The 12,643-nt window shown below is 50.9% G+C and overlaps 1 protein-coding gene across 5 annotated transcripts in view; it reads right to left on the bottom strand.

Moving 5' to 3' along the window:
- Positions 1-12,643, bottom strand: part of DMBT1 (deleted in malignant brain tumors 1) — an 82,983-nt gene that overhangs the window by 38,442 nt on the left and 31,898 nt on the right. For 4 of the 5 annotated variants that reach the window (NM_001377530.1, NM_007329.3, NM_001320644.2 and 1 more), the window contains 11 exons: positions 11,697-11,726; positions 10,767-10,799; positions 9,669-9,992; positions 8,241-8,270; positions 7,283-7,321; positions 6,198-6,521; positions 5,202-5,231; positions 4,272-4,304; positions 3,175-3,498; positions 2,166-2,195; positions 213-245 (listed from right to left, as the gene is read on the bottom strand). In NM_001377530.1, the coding sequence (NP_001364459.1) occupies positions 213-245; positions 2,166-2,195; positions 3,175-3,498; positions 4,272-4,304; positions 5,202-5,231; positions 6,198-6,521; positions 7,283-7,321; positions 8,241-8,270; positions 9,669-9,992; positions 10,767-10,799; positions 11,697-11,726 (1,230 nt within the window). The remainder of the gene's footprint in view (positions 1-212; positions 246-2,165; positions 2,196-3,174; positions 3,499-4,271; positions 4,305-5,201; positions 5,232-6,197; positions 6,522-7,282; positions 7,322-8,240; positions 8,271-9,668; positions 9,993-10,766; positions 10,800-11,696; positions 11,727-12,643) is intronic. The other variant, NM_004406.3, reaches the window with a different exon arrangement.

Below are 12,643 nucleotides of genomic sequence, written 5' to 3'. Positions count from 1 at the left end.
TGGAACAGGATTCCATGGGAGACAGTCACCAGCACCCTCCATCCTCAAACATCAGACCCAGCACTGGCTCCTCAGAGATTCCACCTTCCTCCCACGCAACCCACAGGGGAGTGAAAAAAGAGGGGCCCACCTTGAGCCTCATCCTATCAGTTTCAAACACAAAATATGTCCAGAGACAGTGAGCCCTAGGGAGGGGTGAGAGGATTATTTACCTGCTGTTGATGCATGTGAGGTTGGCCAAGTGTCTGTAAATTGCAACAAAGGAAAAGACAGAATTAGACTTGAAGGGAAAAGGTGCAGAACAAAAGGTTCTCTGGGAGGGGGAATCCACCTGGCAACAATTCCACTTCCTGTTCCTGCCACTTGCTTCCCATGTGTCTTCCCAGGTCTCCTCTGCTGTGAACTCATCCATGAACAAAGGTCCTGCTGGAGACCAGACTGAGCCCTCCATTTCTCTAATCCTGGGGTATCTTTCTATCTGTTAGAGGATGCCCCCCACCATGCAATCCCACATCTGCTGATGCATGGACTGACTAGGACATCAGATGCCATTGCTGAGGCTCAGACACTGGCAGATAAAATGTTAGGGGAACCAGGGGCTGCCCAGGGGACAATCAGGAATCAGGTTTCTGGCTAAGCAGAGACACTACAAACCTTTATTATCCCTTTCCCTGCCCAAGCACAAACCCTGCCTCTTCTGGATACAAATGTGGTCCATCATAATCTCAGAATTTTTCCAGCAGTGATGGATGGGGGTATCGAGCCTGCCCTGACAATGCCTTGAACAGGTCAGAGGGTGACACCCTCAATTTTCGAAACTATATGTGAGTCCTGAATATAAAAGGACCAAAACTCATTAAACATGGGGCCACTTCCTGAACCTGTAAGGGCTGTCCACTGGGACAGTATGAAACTGTTTCATGAAAGCTGAGAGGGGTTGAAAAGAAGACAGAGGCCTCCTGAATCCTATGTGTGTTTTCAAAGCACTGTGCTGTGTTGCGGGAAGTCAGGGACCCCAAACAGAGGGACCGGCTGAGGCCATGGCACAAGAACATAAATTTGAAGATTTCATGGACATTTATTAGTTCCCCAAATTAATATTTTTATAATTTCTTACGCCTGTCTTTACTGCAATCTCTGAACATAAATTGTGAAGATTTCATGGACACTTATCACTTCCCCAATCAATACTCTTGTGATTTCCTATGCCTGTCTTTACTTTAATCTCTTAATCCCATCTTCTTCATAAACTGAGGATGAATGTCACCTCAGGACCCTGTGATGATTGCGTTAACTGCAGAAATTGTTTAAACAATATGAAATCTGGGCACTGTGAAAAAAGAACAGGATAACAGCGTTGTTCAGGGAACAAGGGAGATAACCTTAAAGGCTGGCTGCCTGTGGGCCAGGCAGAACAGAGCCACATTTCTCTTCCTTCAAAAGCAAATAGGAGAAATATCGCTGAATTCCTTTTCTCAGCAAGGAACATCCCTGAGAAAGAGAATGTGTTCCTAAGGGGAGGCCTCTGAAATGGCCGCTTTGGGAACGTCTGTCTTTTACGCTTACAGATAAGGGATGAAATAAGCCCCGGTCCCCCGTAGCGCTTCCAGGCTTATTAGGATGAGGAAATTGCCTCCTAATAAATTTTGGTCAGACCAGTTGTCTGCTCTCAAACCCTGTCTCCTGATAAAATGTTTTCAATGACAATGCGTGCCCGAAACTTCATTAGCAATTTTAATTTCACCCCAGTCCTGTGATCTTGCCCTGCCTCCATTTACCTTGTGATATTTTATTACCTTGTGAAGGATGTGATCTCTGTGACCCACACCCTATTTGTGCACTCCCTCCCCTTTTGAAAATCACCAATAAAAACTTGCTGGTTTTGCTACTCAGGAGGGATCACGGAACCTGCTGACATGTGATGTCTCCCCCCAACACCCAGCTTTAAAATTTTGCTCTTTTGTATGCCTTCCCTTTATTTCTCAGACCGGCTGACACTTAGGGAAAATAGAAAAGGACCCATGTGAAATACAGCCGGTGGTGGCGGTAGAAATAATATGCCCCACAGTATCCACACAGAGAAACAGGAGAGCTCTGTGGAGTGGGGAAGGGGTGATTGGGCAGAAAGAGAAGGGACATTTTGAGGAAGGACACTGGGAACTTACCTGGGCTGGGTGTCGGCTGGGACTGGGAAGCTGTGAGAAAGAGAAGAGAAGGTCAGATCAGGAATGTTACACAGAAGTCGACAAAACTGGAATGAGGAGGGAAAGAAATGGGCGAGTCTGACACTCAGTCCATCCTAGTTCCTATCACACAGGGAGGGACATTGCCATGCACATCCCCACAGAGATGCACCGTGTAAGGGGTTGAGGCAGATCCTGTCCACTATTGCCAGCTCTGAGGAGATCAAATTGTGTCTGCGCAGGGTAACCCAGTTGACCTAAACCAACCCACTCCCTTGCACATCTTAAGTGTTCCTGAGTCAGCAAGGCTGAGGAAGCCACTCCAGCCAAAATCCCTTGTGTGATCTTCAAGCCCCGACCACAGGCAATAATGAGGCCAAGCCTGGCCAGTCTCATGGGGGCTGCCCTCCCCACACCAGACCCAGGGCAAGGCAGTGCTCTGCAGCGTTCTGAGAGGACCTGAGGTCAAGGACTCCAACCTCACACAACCCAGGCCTGATAGAACCAGACACCCATTTTGCACTCCTAACCCTTGAGCCTCTGTTTCCAGACCTCCTCACTGGGTCTCAGCTGAGAACCCACTTCCAGACAAGCATCTTTGGTTCAGAGTTCCTCACAGTGAGAGGATCCCTCCTCTGCCCCGCTGTCTGTCCTATGTCCATGATACCCTCAACCACTGCTACTCAGCAGGGAAGAAATGGAGCCCTGGGGAGCCAGCAGTTTTCTCTTCTGCCTCTTCCTTGCACTGCCTCAGGAAGGGGATAAAGTCTGGGTTGTTGTTTGACTTTGGTCCCCTGTCCTAAGTGACCACATGAACACCAACCGCTGTAGCAAAATTCATACAGATTCTTAGCAGGGAGCTAACAAGGCTGCATAAATACAAGAAACATAGAAGAATCTGTGAGTTCAGAGGAGATCATAATGTAATTAGGATTTTCTTCCTGAGCAAACTCCAACCTAGGAGAGGGAGCCGAAGGTCTTGGAGGCCCACCTGAGCAGATGACACCAGCGTCTTCATGATGGCCACAGTTGTGGGAGAGCCAGCCATTGTGGGGGCAGCTCCACAGATAGGACTCATGTCCTGAGCAGCGCACATCATCCAGGACAATGGGTCCTGAACCCTGGCCAAACCGGGCATTTCCTGGGGCTGACATGGCCCAGCCACAGCCCAGCTGCCTGCAAACCACATTGGCATCATTGGTGTCCCAGTAGTCATCACACACGGTGCCCCAGGAGCCTCGGTATAGGACCTCCACTCGGCCCTGACACCTGTCACCTCCATTCACCAGCCTCAGGGCCAAACTGGATTCAGATCCTACAGGGGAACACAAGAACGCTTCATCCATCTCAAATATGAGGTCAAGGATAAGGCATGGACAACAATCAGGGCAGTGGGCAAAGTAGTCAAGTTTCAATACGAATGCAGAAGTCACCAGGGCATGCAGTCATGATGGAAGATAGCTGCACCCAGAGGTTAAGCTTTGTCATAGTGGAAAAAGTGATGCCCTATTCTACTCAAGTCTATAAAAGCTCAAGCTATGGGTAAGCATGTATGACCCCAGAGGAGGGGACAGGAATGGACACCCCATTCCCCACTCTGGGTACACAAAGGATGGAGATACACAGCTACAAATGACAAGCCCAGACCCCCTCCGAATTCAGGAGCTCATTGGCACCTGCATGGTCCTCTCTGCCTTCTGGCAATTTGCCAGTGATGGCAAGACCTTGGCCACACAAGTGCAGAGACTGGCACTTTCACCTGCTCTTCAGAGATCTGGATCCCATGGCCTGAGGGCCAGGAACGAGGTCCCAGTAGGATTAAGGAGCCCTCCAGTGCTCATCCTGAGCACCTGGATGAGGATCTTTCCTGACCACTTGGAACAGGATTCCATGGGAGACAGTCACCAGCACCCTCCATCCTCAAACATCAGACCCAGCACTGGCTCCTCAGAGATTCCACCTTCCTCCCACGCAACCCACAGGGGAGTGAAAAAAGAGGGGCCCACCTTGAGCCTCATCCTATCAGTTTCAAACACAAAATATGTCCAGAGACAGTGAGCCCTAGGGAGGGGTGAGAGGATTATTTACCTGCTGTTGATGCATGTGAGGTTGGCCAAGTGTCTGTAAATTGCAACAAAGGAAAAGACAGAATTAGACTTGAAGGGAAAAGGTGCAGAACAAAAGGTTCTCTGGGAGGGGGAATCCACCTGGCAACAATTCCACTTCCTGTTCCTGCCACTTGCTTCCCATGTGTCTTCCCAGGTCTCCTCTGCTGTGAACTCATCCACGGACAAAGGTCCTGCTGGAGACCAGACTGAGCCCTCCATTTCTCTAATCCTGGGGTATCTTTCTATCTCTTAGAGGATGCCCCCACCATGCCATCCCACATCTGCTGATGCATGGACTGACTAGGACATCAGACGCCATTGCTGAGGCTCGGACACTGGCAGATAAAATGTTAGGGGAACCAGGGGCTGCCCAGGGGACAATCAGGAATCAGGTTTCTGGTTAAGCAGTGACATCACAAACCTTTATTATCCCTCTCCCTGCCCAAGCACAAACTCTGCCTTTTCTGGATACAAATGTGGCCCATGATAATCTCGGAATGTTTCCAGCAGTGAAGGATGGGGGTATCGAGCCTGCCCTGATGATGCCTTGAACAGGTCAGAGGGTGACACTCACAATTTTCAGAAACTATATGTGAGTCCGGAATATAAAAGGACCAAAGCTCATTAAACATGGGGCCACTTCCTGAACCTGTAAGGGTTGTCCACTGGGACAGTATGAAACTGTTTCATGAAAGCTGAGAGGGGTTGAAAAGAAGACAGAGGCCTCCTCAATCCTGTGTGTGTTTAAAAAGCGCTGTGCTGGGGTCTCAGTTACACAACTGGTGTTGGGGGTAGAAATAATATGCCCCACAGTATCCACACAGAGAAACAGGAGAGCTCTGTGGAGTGTGGAAGGGGTGATTGGGCAGAAAGAGAAGGGACATTTTGAGGAAGGACACTGGGGACCCACCTGGACTAGGTGTTGGCCGGGACTGGGAAGCTGTGAGAAAGAGAAGAGAAGGTCAGATCAGGAACATTACACAGAAGTCGGCAAAGTGGAACGAGGAGGGAAAGAAATGGGCGAGTCTGACACTCAGTCCATCCTAGTTCCTATCACACAGGGAGGGGCATTGCCATGCACATCCCCACAGAGATGCACCATGTAAGGGGTCGAGGCAGATCCTGTCCACTATTGCCAGCTCTGAGGTGATCAACTTGTGTCTGCCCAGGGTAACCCGGTTGGCCTAAACCAACCCTCTCCCTTGCACGTCTTAGGCATTCTTGAGTCAGCAAGGCTGAGGAAGCCACTCCAGCCAAAATCCCTTGTGCCGTCCTCAAGCCCTGATCACAGGCAATGACAAGGCCATGCCTGGCCGGCCTCATGGGGGCTGCCCTCCCCACACCAGACCTGGGGCACAGGCAATGCTCAGCAGTGATCTGAGAGGACCTGAGGTCAAGGACTCCAACCTCACACAACCCAGGCGTGATAGAATCAGACACCCATTTGCACTCCTAACCCTTGAGCCTCTATTTCCAGACCTCCTCACTGGGTCTCAGCTGAGAACCCACTTTCAGACAAGCATCTTTAGTTCAGAGTTCCTCACAGTGAGAGGATCCCTACCCCGCCTTGCTGTCTGTCCTGCATCCATTATACCCTCACACCGTGCTACTCAGCAGGGGAGAAATGGAGCCCTGGGGAGCCAGCACTTTTCTCTTCTGCCTCTTCCTTGCCTTCCCTCAGGAAGGGGAAAAACTCTGGGTTGTTTGAGTTTGGTCCCCTGTCCTAAGTGACCACAGGAACACTAGGCAGTGAGTACATAGGGATTCTTAGCAGAGAGCTAACAAGTCTTCAGAAATATAGAAAACATAGAAGAAGCTTTGAGTGAGGAGATCAGAATGTAATTAGGAGTTTCTTCTGGAGCAAACTCCACCCCAAGAGAGTGATCCCAAGTTCTTGAAGGCCCACCTGAGCAGATGACACCAGCGTCTTCACTATGGCCACAGTTGTGGGAGAGCCAGCCATTGTGGGGGCAGCTCCACAGGTAAGACTCGTGTCCTGAGCAGCGCACATCATCCAGGACAATGGGTCCTGAGCCCTGACCAAACCGGGCATTTCCTGGGGCTGACATGGCCCAGCCACAGCCCAGTTGCCTGCAGACGACATTGGCATCATTGGTGTCCCAGCTGTCATCGCACACGGTGCCCCAGGAGCCTTGGTATAGGACCTCCACTCGGCCCTGACACCTGTCACCTCCATTCACCAGCCTCAGGGCCAAACTGGATTCAGATCCTACAGGGGAACACAAGAATCCTTCATCCATCCCTATCATGAGGTCAGGAATCTAAGGAATGTTCCACACTCAAGGCATGTCCTAATGGCTAAAGTCACCTGGGCAGGCAGTCACCTTTGAATATGAATAAAATCAGAGATTCAGCTTCATCAAAGTCAAAGAAGCAGTGACACCCTATTCTGCCTGGGTTTATGAAGGCTCAAGTTTTGGGGAAGCATCTGTGACCCTACTGAAGTTAACAGGAATGGAAACCCCATTCCCTAACCTGGGTACACACAGGACAGAGCTACACAGCTACAGTAGGCAGGCCAGACTCTCCCCATCTCAGGAGCTTGGTGGCAATCCTATGGTCTTGTCTGACTTCTGAAAATTTCACAGGTATGACAAGGCCTTGGCCAGACAGGTGTGGGGACAGTCACTTCCACCGACTCTTCACACCTCTGCAGCCCATGGGCTGAGGGACAGGAATGAGGTCTTAGTAGGATTAGGGAACCCTCCAGGGCTTTTCCTCAGCACCTGGATGAGGATGTTTCCTGACCACTTGGAACAGGATTCCACGGGAGACAAGTCACCAGCACCCTCCAGCCTCCAACATCAGACCCAGAGCTGGGTCCCCAGAGACGCTACCTTCCTCCCATGCAACCCACAGGGACATGAAAAAGAGAGGGGCCCACCTTGACCCTCATCCTATCATTTTCAGAAAAAACATTTGTCCAGAGGTAGAGAGTGAGCCCTAGGGAGGGGCGAGAGGAATATTTACCTACTGTCGATGCAGGCAAGGTGATGGTCGGCAATGTGTCTGTAATTGCAACAGAGACAAAGGCTAGAATTAAAGTTGATGGTGAAAATCTCCAAAAGGAAAGGTCTCCGGAGAAGGCAAACATCATGAAAACTACCCCACTTCTGGTTCCTGCCACTTGCTCCCCATGTGTCTGCCCAAGTCTGCAGCTCAGCAAGCTCAGCAAGGGTCATAGGCCTTGCTGGAGACCAGTTCGATCCCTCCTGCCTCTGAAGTGTGGGATGTCCTCTTCTCAGTCACAAAGGGTTAGCCTGTTCCATGCACTGACACATGCACTGACGGGTACATCTAACACCATTGCTGACACTCTACTAGCTCGAGCTAAAATGTTAGGGAAACCAAGGAGCTGACCAAAGGGGTATCAAGTTTCCCAGTAAGTGGAGGCACCAGAAATATTTATTATCCCTCTCCCTGCCCGAGCATGGCCTATGCCTCTTCTGGATGCACATGTAGCCCTGCAGAATCTGGGGTGTTGGAAGGAGTGAGGAAGGGAGGTGTCAGGCCTGCACTGACATTGCTTGCCTGTGGCGGCAGCCATGTTTAAGGCTTTAGCTGACATTGGCTACCCAGGAGACTTTGGCAATCACTCTCAATTCTCAGGAAGGTCATATCAGCTCTGAATAGAAAAGTGCCAAAGCTAATTAAATATGAGGTCACTTCCTAAACCTCTAAGGGTTGGCCATTGGGACAGTATGAAACTGCTTCATGAAAGCTGAGATAAATGGAACAGAAGACAGAAGCCTCTTGAACCCTATGTCTGGTTCAGAAGCGCCATTCCAGGGTCTCAGTTACAGAGCAGGGGAAAATTGTATGCCATGTAGTATTCACTCAGAGAAGAACGAGGGCTCTGTGGAGTGCAGAAAGGGATAATTATACAGAAAGAGAAGGGACATCCCAAGGAAGGACACTGGGGACTCACCTGGACTGGGCGTCGACCAGGAGTGGGCAGCTGTGAGAAAGAGGAGGTCAGATCAGATGCACTATACAGAAGCTGGCAAAATCGGAACAAAGGTGGAAGGAACTAAACAGATCATGCCTTCAGTCCACCCTAGGTCCCCATCACAGAGGGAGGGCATTGCCATGCATGTCCCCACAGAGATGCTCCTTGGAGGGTGTCTGGGCAGATCCTGTCCACTATTGCCAACTCCAAGGTGATTAACCTTGTGTCTGCCCATAGTAATCAGGTTGACACAAAACCTACCCTCTCCCTTGCATGTCTTAGCAGTCCCTGAGTTAGCAAATGTGAGGAGGCCACTCCAGCCAAAGTCCTGCCTCTGATGTTCCAGTCCAGCCCACAGGCGTTCATAACAATGCTTTGCCTAGCAGACCTCATGGGGACTGCACACTCCACACCAGACCGGTGCACAGGCAAGACACTGCAGTGCTCTGGAGGGAGTTGTGGTCAAGGACTCACAGCCCCCAAATCTCAGGCCAGAGAGGGACAGACACACATCCGCACTCCTAGCCTTGTGTCTCTATTAAGACATCACCTTATTGGGCCTCAGCAGAAGACCGCGCTTCCTAGCAGGAGCCTGTGGTTCTGGGCTCCTCCCAGGGAGACAGTCCCTCCCCCATCCTCTATATGTGCTTCATCCATGTAACCCTTTGCAAAATCTTTCAGTAGGGGAAAGATGGAACCCTGGAGAGCCAGGGTGCTATACTTTAGAGGCTTGTCACATCCAAGTGTTATATTGCAACTGAATCCCCAAGTTTAGAGGTGAGGCCTGATGCACCAGGTCTGGGTCATGGAGACCAACACTGCATGAATAACTTAGTGCCCTCCCTGGTCAGGGGTGAGTTCTTCTCTTAGTTCCTAGCAAGAGCTGGTGGTTGAAGAGTCTGAGCCCTCCCTCTTGCTCTCTCTTCCTTCCTCCCTCACCTTGTGACCTCTGCCCAGGCCACCTCCCCATCCCTTTCTGCTAGGAGTACAAGCAGCCCGAGGCCCTCATCAGAAGCTGAGCAGACGCCTGCACCATGGTCCTATGCAGCCTGCAAAGCCAAGACCCAAATCAGCCTCTTTCCTCATGAACAAACCAGCCCCAGCTATTCCTTTCCAGCCACACTAAAAGGCAAAGACCTGGCACTTTCCTCTTCTCCCTCTGCTTGCGCTGCCTCGGTAGGTGAACAAAGGCGTGACCCTTATTTCACTTTGGCCCGTTGTCCTACCTGACCTCCTCAAAACCTGGCAATGAAGACTCATGCAGTTTCCTAGGAGAGAGCTAAGGAGATATCAGATATATAGGAAAGGCTGAAAAAGCTCTGAGTGAGGAGATCAGAACATAATGAGACCTCGCTTCCTGAGCAAAATCTACCCCAAGAGAGGGAGCCCAAGGTCTTGGAGGCCCACCTGAGCAGATGACACCAGCGTCTTCACTGTGCTGACAGTTATGGGAGAGCCAGCCATTGTGGGGGCAGCTCCACAGGTAGGACTCATAGCCTGAGCAGCGCACGTCATCCAGGACAATGGGTCCTGAACCCTGGCCAAACCGGGCATTTCCTGGGGCTGACGTGGCCCAGCCACAGCCCAGCTGCCGGCAGACCACATTGGCGTCACTGGTGTCCCAGCTATCATCACACACGGTGCCCCAGGAGCCTCGGTATAGGACCTCCACTCGGCCCTGACACCTGTCACCTCCATTCACCAGCCTCAGGGCCAAACTGGATTCAGGTCCTACAGGGGAACACAAGAATCCTTCATCCATCTCCATTCTGAGGTGAAGGAAAAGGCATGGACAACACTCAGGGCAATGGGAAAAGTAGTCAAGTTTGAATACAAATGCCAAAGTCACCAGGGCACGCAGTCACAATGGCAGATGGCTGCACCCAGAGGTTAAGCTTGGTCATAGTGGAAAAAGTGATGCCCTATTCTACTCAAGTCTATAAAAGCTCAAGCTATGGGTAAGCATGTATGACCCCAGAGGAGAGGACAGGAATGGACACCCCACTCCCCACTCTGGGTGAACACAGGATGGAGCTACACAGCTACAAATGACAGGCCTAGACCCCCTCCATATTCAGGAGCTTATTGGCACCTGCATGGGCCTCTCTGCCTTCTGGCAAATTGCCAGTGATGGCAAGGCCTTGGCCACACAGGTGCAGGGACCGGCACTTTCACCCGCTCTTCAGAGGTCTGGATCCCATGGCCTGAGGGCCAGGAATGAGGTCCCAGCAGCATTAAGGAGCCCTCCAGTGCTCGTCCTGAGCACCTGGATGAGGATCTTTCCTGACCACTTGGAACAGGATTCCATGGGAGACAGGTCACCAACACCCTCCGTCCTCAAACATCAGACCCAGGACTGGCTCCTCAGAGATTCCACCTTCCTCCCACGCAACCCACAGGGACATGAAAACAGAGAAGCCCACATTGAGCCTCATCCTATCAGTTTCAAACACAAAATATGTCCAGAGATAGTGAGTCCTAGGGAGGGGTGAGAGGGTTATTTACCTGCTGTTGATGCATGTGAGGTCGGCCAAGTATCTGTAAATTGCAACAAAAGGAAAAGACAGAATTAGACTTGAAGGGAAAAGGCACAGAACAAAAGGATCTCTGGGAGGAGGAATCAACGTGACAACAATTCCACTTCTTGTTCCTGCCATTTGTTTCCCATGTGTCTTCCCAGGTCTCCTGTGCTGTGAACTCATCCAGGGACAAAGGTCCTGCTGGAGACCAGACTGAGCCCTCCATTTCTCTAATCCTGGGGTATCTTTCTATCTGTTAGAGGATGCCCCCACCATGCCATCCCACATCTGCTGATGCATGGACTGACTAGGACATCAGACGCCATTGCTGAGGCTCGGACACTGCCAGGTAAAATGTTAGGGGAACCAGGGGCTGCCCAGGGGACAATCAGGAATCAGGTTTCTGGTTAAGCAGAGACATCACAAACCTTTATTATCCCTCTCCCTGCCCGAGCACAAACTCTGCCTCTTCTGGATAGAAATCTCGGAATCATAATCTCGGAATGTTTCCAGCAGTGATGGATGGGGGTATCGAGCCTGCCCTGACGATGCCTTGAACGGGTCAGAGGGTGACACCCTCAATTTTCAGAAACTATATGTGAGTCCGGAATATAAAAGGACCAAAGCTCATTAAACATGGGGCCACTTCCTGAACCTGTAAGGGTTGTCCACTGGGACAGTATGAAACTGTTTCATGAAAGCTGAGAGGGGTTGAAAAGAAGACAGAGGCCTCCTCAATCCTGTGTGTGTTTAAAAAGCGCTGTGCTGGGGTCTCAGTTACACAGCCGGTGTTGGGGGTGGAAATAATATGCCCCACAGTATCCACACAGAGAAACAGGAGAGCTCTGTGGAGTGTGGAAGGGGTGATTGGGCAGAAAGAGAAGGGACATTTTGAGGAAGGACACTGGGGACCTACCTGGACTGGGTGTCGGCCGGGACTGGGAAACTGTGAGAAAGAGAAGAGAAGGTCAGATCAGGAACATTACACAGAAGTCGGCAAAACTGGAACGAGGAGGGAAAGAAATGAGCGAGTCTGACACTCAGTCCATCCTAGTTCCTATCACACAGGGAGGGACATTGCCATGCACATCCCCACAGAGATGCACCGTGTAAGGGGTCGAGGCAGATCCTTCCACTATTGCCAGCTCTGAGGTGATCAAATTGTGTCTGCCCAGGGTAACCCGGTTGACCTAAACCAACCCACTCCCTTGCACATCTTAGGTGTTCCTGAGTCAGCAAGGCTGAGGAAGCCACTCCAGCCAAAATCCCTTGTGTGATCTTCAAGCCCCGACCACAGGCAATAACAAGGCCATGCCTGGCCTGTCTCATGGGGGCTGCCCTCCCCACACCAGACCCAGGGCAAGGCAGTGCTCTGCAGCGTTCTGAGAGGACCTGAGGTCAAGGACTCCAACCTCACACAACCCAGGCCTGATAGAACCAGACACCCATTTGCACCCCTAACCCTTGAGCCTCTATTTCCAGACCTCCTCACTGGGTCTCAGCTGAGAACTCACTTTCAGACAAGCATCTTTAGCTCAGAGTTCCTCTCAGTGAGAGGATTCCTCCCCTACCTTGCTGTCTGTCCTATGTCCATGATACCCTCACCCAGTGCTACTCAGCTGAGGAGAAATGGAACCCTGGGGAGCCAGCAGTTTTCTCTTCGGCCTCTTTCTTGCACTGCCTCAGGAAGGGGATAAAGTCTGGGTTGTTGTTTCAGTTTGGGGCCTGTCCTAAGTGACCACAGGAACACCAAGCCCTGTAGTAAAATTCATACAGATCCTTAGCAGAGAGCTAACAAGACTACATAAATATAGGAAACATAGAAGAATCTTTGAGTGAGGAGATCAGAATGTAATTAGGATT

Source organism: Homo sapiens, chromosome 10 (genome assembly GCF_000001405.40).
Source record: "Homo sapiens chromosome 10, GRCh38.p14 Primary Assembly".
NCBI lineage: Eukaryota > Metazoa > Chordata > Mammalia > Primates > Hominidae > Homo > Homo sapiens.
This window is presented reverse-complemented; position numbering and strand designations above follow the sequence as displayed.